This window comes from Homo sapiens, chromosome 9 (genome assembly GCF_000001405.40).
Source record: "Homo sapiens chromosome 9, GRCh38.p14 Primary Assembly".
Lineage (NCBI taxonomy): Eukaryota > Metazoa > Chordata > Mammalia > Primates > Hominidae > Homo > Homo sapiens.
In genome coordinates, this window is record NC_000009.12 from 93,195,453 (window position 1) to 93,209,948 (window position 14,496).

The following is a 14,496-nucleotide window of genomic DNA, read 5'->3' on the forward strand; positions in this document are numbered from 1 at the left end:
CTTTGGGAGGCCGAGGCAGGTGGATCACTTGAGGTCAGGAGTTTGAGACCAGCCTGGCCAACATGGTGAAAACCTGTCTCTACTAAAAATACAAAAATTAGCTGGGCGTGGTGGCGGGCGCCTATAATCCCAGCTACTTGGGAGGCTGAGGCATTAGAATCGCTTGAACCCAGGAGGTGGAGGTTGCAGTGAGCCAAGATCGTGCCACTGCACTCCAGCCTGGGCAACAGAGTAAAGACTTTGTCTCAAAAAAAAAAAAAAAAAAAAAAAAAGATGTTGCTGAAAAAAAATATCAACCATAATCCAACCAGGTGAACACAACTGCTTTTATTTTTGAATAGGACCTTCTAGGTCTTGTTTGCACATGTATAGCATTTAAAAATACAGCTGCAGTTCAGGGTGTCACGACTTCTAGAATCTGTCTCTGGAGTGTCTTTAAAGCTATTGTTTTGCAAGAGGCCATGGTTCTGAGGTTTGTTCCTGGTCTTGGTGCTATTTTGAACCCTTTGCTGAGGGTGGCTGCAGAAGAGGTGCTATCATTAGATGTGTTTGGGGAGTGGTGGGTCAGACAGGCATTGCTGTTGAGGAACTTCTCAGAGCCTTTACGATGCCCACTGTGTTGTGAAGCTCTTGAAGGGTGCGAGGGGGAAGGTGTTGGGCCACCTCCTTTTTTTCTTTCATTTTACAGTTATCTTATAAGCCAGGACTGGCTCTGGGGAGGGGCGTTAACAGGCTGACTGTTAGTGGAGGGTCACGGGCTCCCTCTGGTATTCACTCTCCCCAATCCGCCCCTCACCCCTGCTTTCTGGGCACTGTGCGTGCTTGCTCTCCGGTGGGGGAGATGGGACAATTCTCAGCTGTGAGCCGACTGTGGGAAGCAATGCTGACCTTTGATCCTACTCAGAATCTGGAATCTGGAGATGGCCATGTGACAGCCCTGGAGGTGGCTCAGCAACATCAGCTGGGACATGGGGTTTTCTCTCTGTTTCTTCTGTCCTCATCCATGTTGGCATTTTGTCCCTAGTCTTGCTTGGCCTCATGGCTACAGTAGGGCTGCCACAGCTCCAGGCATCACAACCACATTTGATGGTGGGAAACAAATGGGTGGTTAGGTGGGGGCCAAGCAGCCAGAAGGTCCATTTTTCAAGTGGCTTTGTTCATATTTTAATCCATAAAGAGAAATATTTACCAGGGATTCTCTGGTCTCCTTGGTTAGCATGTGTTTGTGTGGCCAACTGTAACTGTGCTTGTATCTGGGAAAAGCTTGATTGGTGTAGCAGGTTATGATCTGTTCTCTGGGGCTGGGCATAGTGAGTTTCTGGGTTTCTGTTGGTCAGGAGGGGTGGCGGGCTGTGGGTGGAGCGTGCCTGCTGTGTCTGTCTTGGTTACCTTGTCCCTCCAAGACTGTCAGTGTCTGTGTGTGCTAGAGCCCTCCTCTGCCTGGGCCTGCAGAGAACAGCACAGCACACATGCCCGCTGCATCTGCAGGCTCCTCCCTGTCCACAGCTCCCACACCCAGGCATCTGTGGGCCCTGATGATTTTCCTTCCCTCCTGTGTGGCCACCCCAGCTCCCTACCCTCTGTGCCAACCCTGGCAAAGCTTTTTCCTCTCTGCCAACAATCCAGTTTTCATTTAGCCCCAACATTTTATTTTGGAAAACTTTGGAAAAACCAACAGAGAAGTTGGAGTTACCAGTTGTTAGTGTTTACCACTCTCCTGTATATCTGTGTCTGTGATTTCCTGACCCATTTGCAGTTCACCCCTGAGTACTTCAGCCTGTGTCTCTTGATAGGAACGAGGATGCTCCCACATCACCTCCACCCCCTGCCGTGCTCCAGGCACTCCAGGATAGGACCTGAGGCACTCAGTGAGGTCTCAGATGGGTGGACTGCACTTCCTAGGGAAGGGATCCAGGAGCCAGTCAAGGATCACGTGTTGTGTCTGGTTGTCATGTCAATTTCAATCCAGAACAGTCCCTCTGCCTTTTATTATTACTGTTCTTAAATCTGTCAGCATTGTCTTCTGAAGGTTTAGGGCCAGTGGTCTTGCATGGAGACTCCATCTGGATCTGTGTGGTGTTTCTTTTTTTTCTTGAGGGAGTCTTGCTCTGTCTCCTAGACTGGAGTGCAGTGGTGTGATCTTGGCTCACTGGAACCCTCTTGGGTTCAAGCGATTCTCCTGCCTCAGCCTCCCGAGTAGCTGGGATTTATAGGTGTACACCACCATGCCCAGCTAAGTTTTGTATTTGTAGTAGAGACGGGGTTTCACCATCTTGCCCAAGTTGGTCTTGAACTCCTGACCTCAGGTGATCTGCCTGCCTCGGCCTCCCAAAGTGCTAGGATTATAGGCATGAGCCACTGCCCGGCCCTGTGTGGTGTTTCTGTACGACCGTGTGAGGTCGTGCATTCCTGGCTCGGGTGCTGCATGTGTAGGTCAGATCCGGCTAGGCTGGTCCCTGTGGGGGCCCTAGAGGAAGTCAGAGTGCTGTTATTAAGAAATGACCATGCTCACGTCAGTGGGGCACCACTGTATACTCTAGAGGCATATTGGCTTCCTGAGAGGGAGGTGCTGTGATTCCCCCCTCAGTAAAGTTTCCCAGTTTACTAAGGAGGAAACTGAGGTACAGGAAAATACAAGATGTTGTCCTGTACACCCAGGCAGCCAGGGGCTGAGTGGGGACCTGCATAGCCTAAGGGGTTGTGGTGCAGCTTGAGGAGGGTGGACTGCAGGCTCCGGTGGTTCTGGGCCTCAGGATCGCCCAGCTCCCTCCTCCCTTTGGGTGCCTGAGGCACCTGAGCTGGAACTGCCCCGCCTCTGAGTTAGGTTGAGTGGTTGATGCTAACAGGACTTGCTGTCAGCCTTGAGGGAGCTGAGCGGCTGCAGTTTCCCCAGGCAGGCGGGGCTTGCTGGCAGGAGGAGGCTGATGGGGACCCACCTGTTGCCCATCCAGCTGCTTTGGGTGGGGCCCCTCCTCAGGCCTCACAGGGAGCCCTGCTTACCCCGGTAGGGCGTAGGGGCAGGGCTATGTTGTTCCTCCTACCTGCCAGCCCTGGACCAGCCTTGTTGAGTTGGGGGAGTGTGCCCGGGCATTGGGTTTCATGGGGATGGCCACTGTGGAGGGGATGCTTCCTGGGGAAGATGACATGATGGACATGGAAGCCTGACAGAGGAGGAGCTGTCCACAGCCTCCATCCTCTGATGTGGCAGTTTTCACTTTGGTATATGCCCTTCTTAGCTTGTTTTTTATACTCTTGGGCATTTTTGCTAAGTCATGATCATAGCGTCTGCGCTGATATGTGCAGTGACAGTGAATAGCCCAGACTGCCTCTGGGCCCCCACTCCCTGCCCAGCTCTGGCCCTGCTGCCCCCTTTTCCAGCCCTGCCCTCTTGCCCCATTGTCCTTCTACCCCTGGCCTTGCTGCCCAAGACCTGCAGTTGAGCTGGGCAGCTTTGGTGCAGTCTCGAGCTCGGGGCCTCCTCGGGTGTGAGTCAGGCCTGGGTCAGACCCACTTGTCATCCTCTCGCTGGCTCGGTTCGGGGTGGGTGGAGGCCTGCTCAGTCCCAGCCTGGCCCCCTCCAGCTGGACCCAGGTTCCCACACACCCTGCATGCCTCCATGCTGTCCCCTGTGACTGGAGGTCCTTGTGTGGGCCTGAGACGTGTGAGCAAGTCCCCTTGCCCTCTGTGGGGTGCGGCTTCTCAGCCTGGCTGTGCTGGGGTCACACAGGCCTCCCAGAAGGAAGATGACCGATGCCTGGGGTCTCAGTGGGCCACCTCTCTCCCATTCTGGTGGCACCAGGACTGAGCCGAGATGCTTGCCCCTGATTTTCTTGTTTTCAGGCTTCCCCCAATGTCAAGGATAGTCCTGGGCTCTGGACCTGGTGACCTCCTACCTTAGCCCTGCCCAGGTTGGTGACTCTAGGCTACCTTCCTCCACCTGCTGGCGGCTGGGCTTGGCGTCAGGTGGTGGGAGATGCCCTAGGCCTCCTATCTGGCCCTGTCCTGTGTCTTCAAGTTAGGCAACCATCTTCCTGGGTCAGCCAGCTGCAAGGCTGTTGACATCTGCCCGGACAGGTCTCTTGGAATTTCTTGTCTTTAATTAAGAGGTTCGAGCAGCGTAGTGAATTTGTGTTTTGGAAGAAGCATTGAAAACACAAAGCTGTGGGCCGGGTGCGGTGGCTCAGGCCTGTAATCCCAACACTTTGGGAGGCCGAGGCGGGTGGATCACGAGGTCAGGAGATCGAGACCATCCTGGCTAACTCGGTGAAACCCCGTCTCTACTAAAAATACAAAAAAATTAGCTGGGCCTGGTGGCAAGCACCTGTAGTCCCAGCTACTTGGGCAGCTGAGGCAGGAGAATGGCGTGAACCTGGGAGGCAGAGCTTGCAGTGAGCCAGATAGTGCCACTGCACTCCAGCCTGGGCGACAGAGCAAGACTCTTTGTCTCAAAAAAAAAAAAGAAAACACAAAGCTGTGGAGAAGAGCTAGGATGGGGGGGCAGCGGTTGGGCAGGTCCTGTGTGTGTCCAGGGCAGCCCCAGCCTGGTGCTCCATCCCCTCAAGGAGGGCAAGTGGCAGGCCATGCTGAGCAGGCGTTGCGTGGGGATGCTGCCTGGCTTAGTCTCAGCCTCCCCTGCCCTAGTCCCCACCTGGGAGTGCACACCATGGGGGGTTGCAGGAGTTAAGGTGCTGAGGGGTGGGGAAGGTCCATTGAGTGGAATTATTGGCCCTGACACCCCTGGGGACATGGATGGCTTATCGGGGGGCCTCCTCGAGGCCTGGCCTTGCTCTGGCCCCTTGAGCCAGAGGTCCAGGGCAGGTTTGTCTGATGGGCTATCCAGACTTTGTCTGTCACTGCAGCAGGTCCTGGGTCAGCTGGATATGGCTGGGTGATCTTTACAGGAGGGAGACCCGAGGCTGTCTGTGTCTGCCCAGAGGAGGGCACGTTCTGCATGTTCCCTCAAGAGCCAGCGGTGGTGGGAGAACCACAGTGTTGGGGAGCCCAGTTGCTGGCTGGACAGTGATGGCCTGTTGTCCCCTTCAGCCTCTCGGCAATTCGACGCCTACCCTGGGCTGCCATTGCCCAGTTCCTCAGCCTGTCAGTCGCTCTGGTGCCCTTGGCTTGGTGTGGTTGGACGCAGTGAACTTGGCACCCTCGTTTGCGGCTGAGCTTGGGGAAAACTGAGCCCAGAGGATGCCGGAGCATGGCCCTGCTGCTCTTGGTACCTGTTGGGCCTCTGGATTGGGTGACTTAGAGGTGAGACGGCCACATGGGCTCAGGGTGTGGTGGTTGCAGGTGGGTTCTGTACAGACGGCCACCTGCGCCATTTGTAAAAAGAGGGTTTAAAAGGGAGGCATGAAAGTGAATAAACTTGGCTAGGCGCATTTATGAGAAGGATGAAATAGGGTTAGCTTGGGGAAAAGGGCAAAAACCTTTAAAACCGCTAGAAACAAATGAAACAGAAGAAGATGAAAAAATATATGGAAATAGATCTTAAGATAGAAAGGGACCGATGATATTTTTTAAAGGTAAAGGAAAATAAAATGCTAACAGCAAGGGGCCTTTCTTTTACTGGGATGGATTTTTAGGGACAGTTAGTATGTGTGCAGCCCCTCCCCAGTGAGGACCTAGGCGTCCCCTCCCAGCAGAGGGTCCTGGTACCACCCATCCTTTCCATCCTGTGGCTGTTCTCTGCCTGCTTTAGGGTCCTGCTTGGGATGAGTCTGTGTGGCCCTGGCTCTTAACAGCCCCTCTGTGTGGCCGAGTGCGTTTCACTGTCTGCTTATCTGTCGCCATCTGTGGACACTGGGGCTGTCTGGGCTGAGACTGTTCCGAGCAAGGCTGCCCAGCATTCACACTGGGCTGGAGGAGCAGGGGGAGTGGGGATGGGTCCAGGTGGGCTGCTGACCCCAGCCTTCACAGCTTGAGGCCCCTGCGTGCCTTCCTGGTTGGGGTGCTCACGCTGCATGCTCTTGGCAGCCCGGGAGGTGGAACGTGGAGAACACATGCCTGGCCATGAGGCTCATTCTTCCTGCTGTAGAGCTTGTGGGAGCAGGGCTGGGGTGTCAGCCTGGCCTGGCCTATTGCTAGCCCTGGGCACTGTGTGCAGAAAACTAGTACCTAAGCCCCAGGTTGGATGTGTCTGAGGGCTATGGACAGGTCCTGCCCTGCAGGAGGCCCTCCCTTCCCTTCCCTGCCCAGGGCTACATGCTGGACCATGTGCTTCCCAAGTGCCCAGGACCCGTGTCTCCCCCGTGTCCTGAGAAAGAGCCCTTTTGGCTCATATCTGGCCTGTCTGAAATGGCCTGTCAGCCTCTGTAAATATTTGATGAAGGCAATGATAAAAAGACAAAGGCATGCTCTGTTCCCCGAGGGGAGCGAGATGGTGACATTGGAACGTTCCAGCCCTGCCGGCCGCTTCCTGAACTGTTTATGGATGGGTTTCAGGCAGGCCCTTTGTGCCCGCGCTCCCACTCACTGCAGGCCAGAGTGGAGCTCCTTGGGGCCTGGCAAGGCTAAGCAGAGGCAGCTGCCAACTTTCCACCTGGAAACCAGGCTGGGCCGGTGAGGGTTGCTGGCTGCGCTGGAGGTCACAGGGGGGTCTCACACTCTGATGCTACCTGGGACATACGTAGTTCCTGGCCTCCAGGTAGGCTTGGGGAAGTGAGGGGTGACTGAGGTTTGGTGTGGGACCCTGACCATACAAGATGGCTCTGTGTCCAGACACCACTGGGCCCTAGTGGGGTGGCCGCTCAGCACAGTGCAGGCCACTCCTACCCATGCCCCACTCCATGGCTGACCCCAAGCTCCCAGCCCTGCTGCGTGTGGGGACCTGGTATGCTTCTCAGGGCCTCTGCTGGGCTCCGTGTGCACGTGTGTGTGTGTGTGTGTGTGTGTGTGTGTGTGTGTGTGTGTATGTCTCGTCTTTGGCTCGTTTGCCAGGGAATGGCCTGCCCCTCCGGCGCTTCCGTGGGAATGAGGAGCCCTTTGAGTTGACCTCACCGAGGGGCCACCTGTCCCGTGGGCGGTCAGCCCGGCCCTACCAGGGGAGAGGACACTTTCTGCTTGGGAGGGGCGGGAACTGCTGGGAGCCACAGCTCTCAGGGAGGGGTGGGTATTTGCACGGCTGATGGCCTTTCCACAAAAGGGTTCCGCTGTGTTTTCTCTTTGGGGGAGGGAAAATTACATGGGGTGGGGCTGGGGCAGGTGGCATGGTGGGGGCCGAATCAGGAGGGTTGGAAAGGCCTTAGTCTCCAGCGTGATACTGGACACCACTGCAGCCGGGGCTAAATGCTCCTCCCTCACTGAAGCCTCCCTGAAGCCCCTGAGGAGCTTTTCCCTGGGGCAGGGACACTGAGGCACACATAGGTTGTGCTTGCTGGACACTTCTGGCTGGAAGGCCGGCTTGGAAGGGCTAGGCTGCCTTTGTGGGGGTGGGGGTTCTTGCTAGGGTAGACCTCACCCTTTTTCCTGCAAGGACCACATCTAAGGCCATTTGCGAGGCACCCAGGCTGGTTTCCACGTGGCAACCATTGGAGGAGAGGGGCCCTCTGAGGTCTGTGTCCAAGTGGGTGGCAGTGGAGGATGGGGGGCATGGGATGCTCAGAGCCCCACAGGCCTTGTGGGGTGGGGCAGTGATGCTTCTGCTGGAGGGGTGGGGCCCAGAGCTTTTCGGGGGGCGCTGGGAAGGTCCTTCCTGGGGGCTGCAAGTATGACCCCAGTAGGGGAACCCCAAGTACCCTTTGCTGAACTCAGCTGAGGACCTTGAGCTGCAATGAGGCCCCCTGGGGCCTGGTGGGCCAGGGGTTTGGCCCAGGGAAAGGTATGGCAGTCAGGACCATGGCTGGAGTGGACAGTGGTCTGAGTTGGGGGCATTGGTGGCGGGTGGTAGCAGAGGATGCAGAGGAGCAGCCACCCAGGCTGGGGAGGCGCCTGCTGAGTGAGGAGGTTTCAGATTTTCACTGAAAGAAAGAAAAAGCGAATGAGAACAGGCAGCTCTGGGGAGCCGGGAGACCCTGGCCACAGAGCAGGTTGGGAGGGAGCCTGTGGGAGTGGCTGCGGGGTCCAGGCCGGGGGCACAGGGGCTGGTCGTTGAAGGCCTAGTCCCCTGCAGTCTGTGGACGTGCCACTGCACTCGGCAGAGGTGACTTTGCAGATGGGATTAAGTTAAGTATCTTGAGACTGGGAGATTGTCCTGGGCTGTCAGAGTTGGCCAGATGTCATCTTCAGGCTGTCCTAAGTGGGAGGCAGGAGCTTCTGAGACAGAGAAGGGGATGTGGGTGTGGAAGAGGGAGGAAGGGACCGTGGGACAGGGAACGAGGCATCTCGAACTGTGAGAGAATACAGGTGGTGTTGGAAGCCCTGTGTGTGGTGATTGAAGCCGGGGGAGGCTGCTGCAGCCTGGTCACTGTCCCCACTGGTTACCCACGCAGCCCTGTGGACATGGTGCAGTTGGGGCCAGCCAGGAGCCCTGTGGGAGGGATGTCCCGAGGGCTTCCTAGACAAAGCTCCCTGAGCAGGGCCTGGAGACATTGATGGGGCTGCGGGATGGCATCCTTGGGAACGGGTGTCAGGGAAGGCTGGCTGGTGTGTGTGTGTGTGGTGGGGGTGTGGGGGCTGTATTCTGGTAAGTGCTGGAGAGGAGAGGGCTGACATAAGGCCACACTGAGGAGGTGTTTTAACTGCCTGCTTGGTCAGTGGGTACTAGGGAGCCACTGAAGGCTCCTGGGGGAGAGTATATGAAAACCGTTCAGAGATATGGGCTTCACAGCTGTCTGTGAGGTGCTGGGAGTGGGAGAAGCAGAGGCAAGGACAGCCTGGGTGCTCAACATTTCTGCTGGGGAGGCAGACGAGGGCGGGCAGAAGAACTGATGGCCTCTGTCAGCCGCATGGAATGGAGAAAGTATATTAGGTTACGGCTTCCAAGAGTCAGGGAGGCCCAAGCACCTGCAGGTAGAACTGCCCAGGTTTGGAATGGGGGCCAGAAAGGCGGGGCCAGCCCTCGGGGCTGTGGGCCCCAGGAGGACTCAGGGTTCTAAATGTGCTGGGAAGCCCCACTTTCCCCCAGCAAACTGTTGTCGGGTACCCAAGGTGCCTGGCATGGGGGATGCTGCAGGAACAAGCTGCTGGCTCCCACTGAGGGGCAGGGGTGGGGAAGGGTGCTGACTCTGAGCCATCACGGGCTAGGTGTGTGACAGGATGGGACAGAGTGGGTGTTTGCAGGCTCTGTGACACGGGCTGACATTCACTGTCCTGCCTGGCCCTGATGTGAATGTCATAGCAGATTGTCAGCACTGTTTGGGGCTCAGGGAGGCTCAGAAAGTGAGGGATGCCCGAGGACACCAGGGAGGAACATGGGTGTCTGGTGGGGGTATGGGGACCCCAAGCTGGGCAGAGCCTTGGGGCTGTGTGTTTGGTGGCCTTGGACTGACCCTGTCCTGCCTGGCCCTGGGTGAGGACAGAGGAGGCCAGAGGCCAGCAGGGCTGAAGAGCTCATCATGCTGGAAGCCACAGGCCAAGAAGTGAACTGAGCTTGCAGGGGACAGCTTCAGGTCAGGGGAGGCCAGTGGATATTGGAGTTAGGCACTCTATAATATGTTGAACATATTGGGCTCAGATCAGAGCTGTGTTAACGTCTGTGGGAGGTCCTGCTTTCCTCCATCCATTCTGGTACAGATTTTCCAGTTGAGCATACTACCTCCTCCTCACCCCTTCATTTGTAGACCAATGTTACCGGTGACTGGGGAGGCTTGAGGAGCACTGGGCTGGGACTGTGCACTTTGGTAGCACCTTACCCACTTCCTGAGTTCAGGGCATCTGTCAGCACAGATGTGTCAGTGAGCAGACGGCCACTGTGTGGGAAGGCCAGCACCAGCCTTCATGGGGAGTGGGCAGCCTATGTGCAGGTGGGAGCCCCTGGACCCCCCAGGTCTGGAGAGGCCATTGGCCCCAGTGGGTGGAGGCTGGCACTCAGGCTTAGCCCTATCCTGGGCCCCCTTGTTCCTGGGGGCCCACCCTGCTGGCCAGCCTCTGTCATCTCCCCCATCCTGCTGGTCAGCCCCTGTCCGTCCCTGCACCCTGTGCCTGGCCCCCACTCTGTCCTTCGGCCCGCCCCGCGGCCGGCTGTCTGGAGCCTGGTCTCCATAGCAACAGTTGCTGCTGTGGAAGCTGGCGCCCGCTCAGCCTCATCCCGTGGGGAGGTATTTTTGGCACTGCTGAGGGATTTTATTTTATCTTTGGTGTTGACTTTTACTCTTTGAGTGACACAGACGAAGCTGGGGGCAGCCTTTGAGAAGCTTCTCTCTGGGGGACGTGGTGTTAAAGGCCTTTCTTCGTGGCCCCTTGAGTGCAGGGTCCTCCGAATGTCTTGCTGCTGGGGACACTGGCTCTGTGTGACGCCAGTGCCTTCTGGCAGCCTCTGGGCCAGTGGGTCTCAGGCTCCAGACGTACTGGGGGCTTTGGATGGCAAGAGGAAAATCAGGGGTGGGTTTGAGCCTCAGGTAAAGCCACCAGTTTGGTGGGGACACCCCTGGAGGCAATTGTTGTTGAGTGCTGGCTGTAGCCTAGACCCCGTGCGGAGCCTCGGGGCACAATTTTATGGGATCCTCCTGCCCACGGCCCATTTTATAGATGAGGAAACTGATGCTGCAGAGGGTGGTGCCTGAGGGGCATGCGGGGTACAGGGCATCACTGATGTCTCCTGTCCTCCCTGCCAAGGCCCATGTGGACAGTGTGATCTGTCTGGAGTGCGTGTCTTTTTCCTAACATGTAGGGCCCCATTTCTTTGGGGCTTGGGGCTGCCCCTTTTGAGCCCTCTGGTGCTGGTGGACAGGCTGAGGTGGGTACAGGGAGTTGCCAAGGGTCGCCTGCAGTGACCTGGGCACGTGGACCTAGGGTGCTGGGGGAAACCCCCACCCCTTCACCGCCCTGGCCTTGGTGGCTGAGGGCACAGCATTTGGCATGCACTTGCCCTGGCTCCAGTCCCTGCCTGGGGACCCAGGAGACCCTGAGAAGCACGTGGCTTGCCCCACCTTAGCCCTGGATGCACCGGGGAGTTCTGACTGGGGGTGGGGGTGGATTTCTAGGCAGCCATATTTAGTGTCCTTGGATGGGACAACACCATGGAGGGTGGTGGCTGCGTGACTGGGGGAGGTGGGAGGGCCTGTCCCAGGAGCCAGCACCGGGCAGACGTGTGCTTGGCCCTCCCTTGCAGAATGAGTGTTGACCATGGGCCCCAATGCTTCTGCTGCCATCAGGGCCCCGAGTTTGGGGGATGGACAGGAGGAGGCTGTGCCCTCTTGGGGAGGGCAGCCAGAATCCAGGCCTAGAGTGACACCTGCTTCCCCGAGGCAGCTCTTGCCTCGTGTTTGTAGGTTTTTCTGGGGATACACTGTGGCAGCGGCTGGATGTGCAGCAGCTGGGGTTACTGAGGGCTGGACATGGAGAGGGGAGGCAGTGTGTTTTGTTCTGGCTCTGCCACCCCCTGGGAATGTAGAGGACTCCCTGGCCCTGTCTCTTTATCTGCTGAGTGAGGAGGACAGCTCCCAGCTTGGAGGGGTGCCTTGGGGCTGTTTGTGATGCCCACTCCTGCCAGGCTTCCTTGGAGAGCAGAGAGGCTGCCCCCAGAGGGTAATATCCTGGGGCATCCAGATGAGAGGCCAGGCCAGCTGTGCAGGAGGCTGAGGCCAGAACCCTCAGGCATTATTGTTAACCCGTTATCATGGGAACTTGCAAGCAGACCAGAAAGTAGAGGATGCCTGACAAACCTTAAGTCCCAACCCCAGTTAGTTATCAGGATCTCCCATATATCCTTTACCTTGTTCTAAAATACTCAGGCTCGGATAGCACTCCTAAGTTGCAGAGCCGTGGGTTTGACCTGCCCCAGATCTCTGGTGGGGGGGCCTTGTCCACCATTCCCCTACAGGCAGCAGACCTTCAGCTCCCCACCAGCTCCTGAGGAGGGTGAGCATCTGTCATTCATGATCTCCCGGTCAGCATGCAGTAGGTGTCCAGTGCACGCCCAGGGTGATCAGGCCAGCCCCTCCTTTTTTGGACCCTTCAGGAGGAGCCCAACAGGCTGGTTGGTTTGCGAGCTTTACAGAATTGGTAATTCTGTCTCCAGTGAGTGTATTTGGTGCAAACCCCAGAGCCATTTATAGAACAGATGCCAGAGGGAGCACTTGAGGAAATTAAACTCCATGGTAACCTCACTGTGGAAATGAAAATAGCCTCACTGTCAGTGCTCTGCTGCTGGCCTAAGTCACGGGCCAGGATTGCAGTGCCTGCAACAGGGAGGCTCGCTTGCTGCCGGCACCCACGCCCTCTCCAGGCGCTGTTTTTAGTTTTGCGAAGTTCAGTAGATTGCAAAGAATTTGGGAAATACAGGAAAGGAAAAAAAAGAATTCCTGTGGGTTCGGAGAGAACACAGCCACCGTTCTCGTTCACAGTTCCGTTCTCGTGCCTGTGGACTTTAGGGGGACAGCTTCGTGTCCCACCCCTTCCACGTGGCACCTTGATGCCTGCTCCCTTCCTCCTTGTCCAGGGGCTTTGTGACTGCCCTGAGGACCTTCATCTCCTCCCCAGGCCCTGCCTCCGGTGCCTGGCTTTTCTTGCTATTATAAATAATGCTGCAGTGACGATTCCCAGACAGAACACACAAACATCTCAGTTTTGGTTGGTTTCACTGTGGCGGAGCCTGGAGCAGGGGACGTCCCCAGGTCCAAATTACTGGCTTTGGAGATGGGTGTCCCTTGTTACACCACCGTGCTGGAACTGGACGTTTCCACTGAAAGTGGAGTTTTTGTGTTCATGTTATCTGCCGCCCTCTCACTTTATATTCTTCTGAGAAATATTTTGAAAACAATAGAGGTAACACGTTTTTGTAGAGAAAGGAGAACCACCCACACCCTTGTCGCCAAGGCTGAAAGGGAGGCCTCATTTTTGTGTGTCCTGCCATTTGGCTGGTTTCTCTGTGTGCACGTTTTCTGTGTGCATGTGTCACCATGTTTGCATGTTCTCCATGTGCATGTGTTCTCTGTGTGCATGTGTGTTCTCCACGTGTACATGTTATGTGTATTCTGTGTGTGTGCATGTGCTGTGTGCACGTGTTTTGCACACGTGTGTATTTGGTGTGTTCTTCATGTATTCGTGTCCTGTGTGTTCTGCACATGTACGTGTTCTCCATGTGCACATGTTCTGTGTGTGCATGTATTCTGTGTGTTCTTCATGTGTGCATGTGTTCTGTGTGTCTGCGTGTTCTGTGTATGCTCTTCGTGCGTGTTCTGTGTGTGTTCATGTGTGTGCGCATGTCCTCCGTGTGTGTGTTCTGCGGCTGTGTGTGCTCTGCATGTGTGTTCTGTGTATGTGCATGTTCTTCGTGTGTGTTCTGTGAATGCATGTGTCTTCCGTGTGTACAGGTTCTGTGAGTATGCATGTTCTACAAGTTGTGTGTGTTCTTTGTGCATTCACATTCGTGCAGCAGAGCCCCTCCCTCTGATGGTGCCTTGGTGACCACAGCTCCGGGGGTGCTTGGTGCCCTGGCAGAGCAGCCTCATTGTTGAGATTTTCCTTTATGATCGGACCAAGAGGTTGCAGCTCTCCTATGAAACTGTGGCCTTGAAGACCCTTGGGAATAGCTTTTTTTCTTCCAAATGATTTCCTGGAAAAAAAACAGTTGAGCAGAAGGACATAGACCTTTGAGCAGGGGAATGTGGTGGTGGGGCCAGCTCCACCCCAGGTAGGTGCGAGCACCTGGCGGCCTCCCTAGGGTACAGAGTCCATGGCGATCTCCTGGGGCTGTACGCCACAGGACAGGCCTGTGGCACCTCAAGGCACACTGGCGCAAGGCCGGGACATTCTGGTCTCTGTGCCTGCTCCCCATCTCCACCCACCACGTGTGTGGCAGGACAGCTGTGGGCTGGGGCTGCTTGCTCTCCATTGGGGTGACACATGGAACACCTCAGCCCTTGTGTGCCTTTGAGACGGGACAGGTCTTGCAGCCTGAGGTGGACCTCAGTCCCCTCTCCCTCACGTCCAAGACCCTGGCTGAGGCCTCAGGAACCTTAATTTGGAACATCTGGGATTCTTCTGGTCTTGGTTTGTTCTTACCACTTCAGAGGGGGTTCTGTAGGGTTTTGGGGTGCGGTTGAGGAGAAACAGCTTAAAGTAGAAGGGGCAGCTCCCAGGGCTGTGCTTGGGTGGAAGGAACAAGGCTGCAATGTGGTGGAAGGGGACTAGGACCTCTGAGCCAGGCCTGCTGGTGGCACTGGCTGTGTGGCCTCTCTGGGTGCCTCAAGGCAGGGTGGAGTGCGTGCTGAAAGTCACCATTGCTGATGGTCGAAGCCCGCCCTTCCCCCAGGATCCCAGGGGAGATTCTCCATGTCATCCTCCAGGAAGCGAGTGGGGCTGGTCTATCATGGTGCCTGTGCCCCCACTCTGACTGGGGGATTGGTGGGACACCCCCAGAGCATGGCCAGGGAGGAGCCCCACGCCTGTGGG

The 14,496-nt window shown here is 56.5% G+C and overlaps 1 protein-coding gene across 51 annotated transcripts in view, besides 1 other annotated feature; it reads left to right on the forward strand.

The window, feature by feature from the left end:
• WNK2 (WNK lysine deficient protein kinase 2) overlaps nt 1-14,496 on the forward strand; it is a 136,431-nt gene that overhangs the window by 11,314 nt on the left and 110,621 nt on the right. For 7 of the 51 annotated variants that reach the window (XM_047423773.1, XM_047423778.1, XM_047423774.1 and 4 more), the window contains exon 1: nt 6,470-6,649. The exons of the other annotated variants lie outside the window; for them this stretch is intronic. In XM_047423773.1, coding sequence (XP_047279729.1) covers nt 6,614-6,649 — 36 coding nt within the window. In that variant the 5' untranslated portion in view covers nt 6,470-6,613. Of the gene's footprint in view, nt 1-6,469; nt 6,650-14,496 lie in introns of those variants that run through there. 51 annotated transcript variants of the gene reach the window in all.
• Nucleotides 6,346-7,279: an enhancer, noted in NCBI's record as "H3K4me1 hESC enhancer chr9:95964080-95965013 (GRCh37/hg19 assembly coordinates)". NCBI's record gives its function as "activates a minimal SCP1, AML or CMV promoter by ChIP-STARR-seq in naive H9 embryonic stem cells {active_cell/tissue: H9 hESC(naive)}" and the evidence as "EXISTENCE:reporter gene assay evidence [ECO:0000049][PMID:30033119]".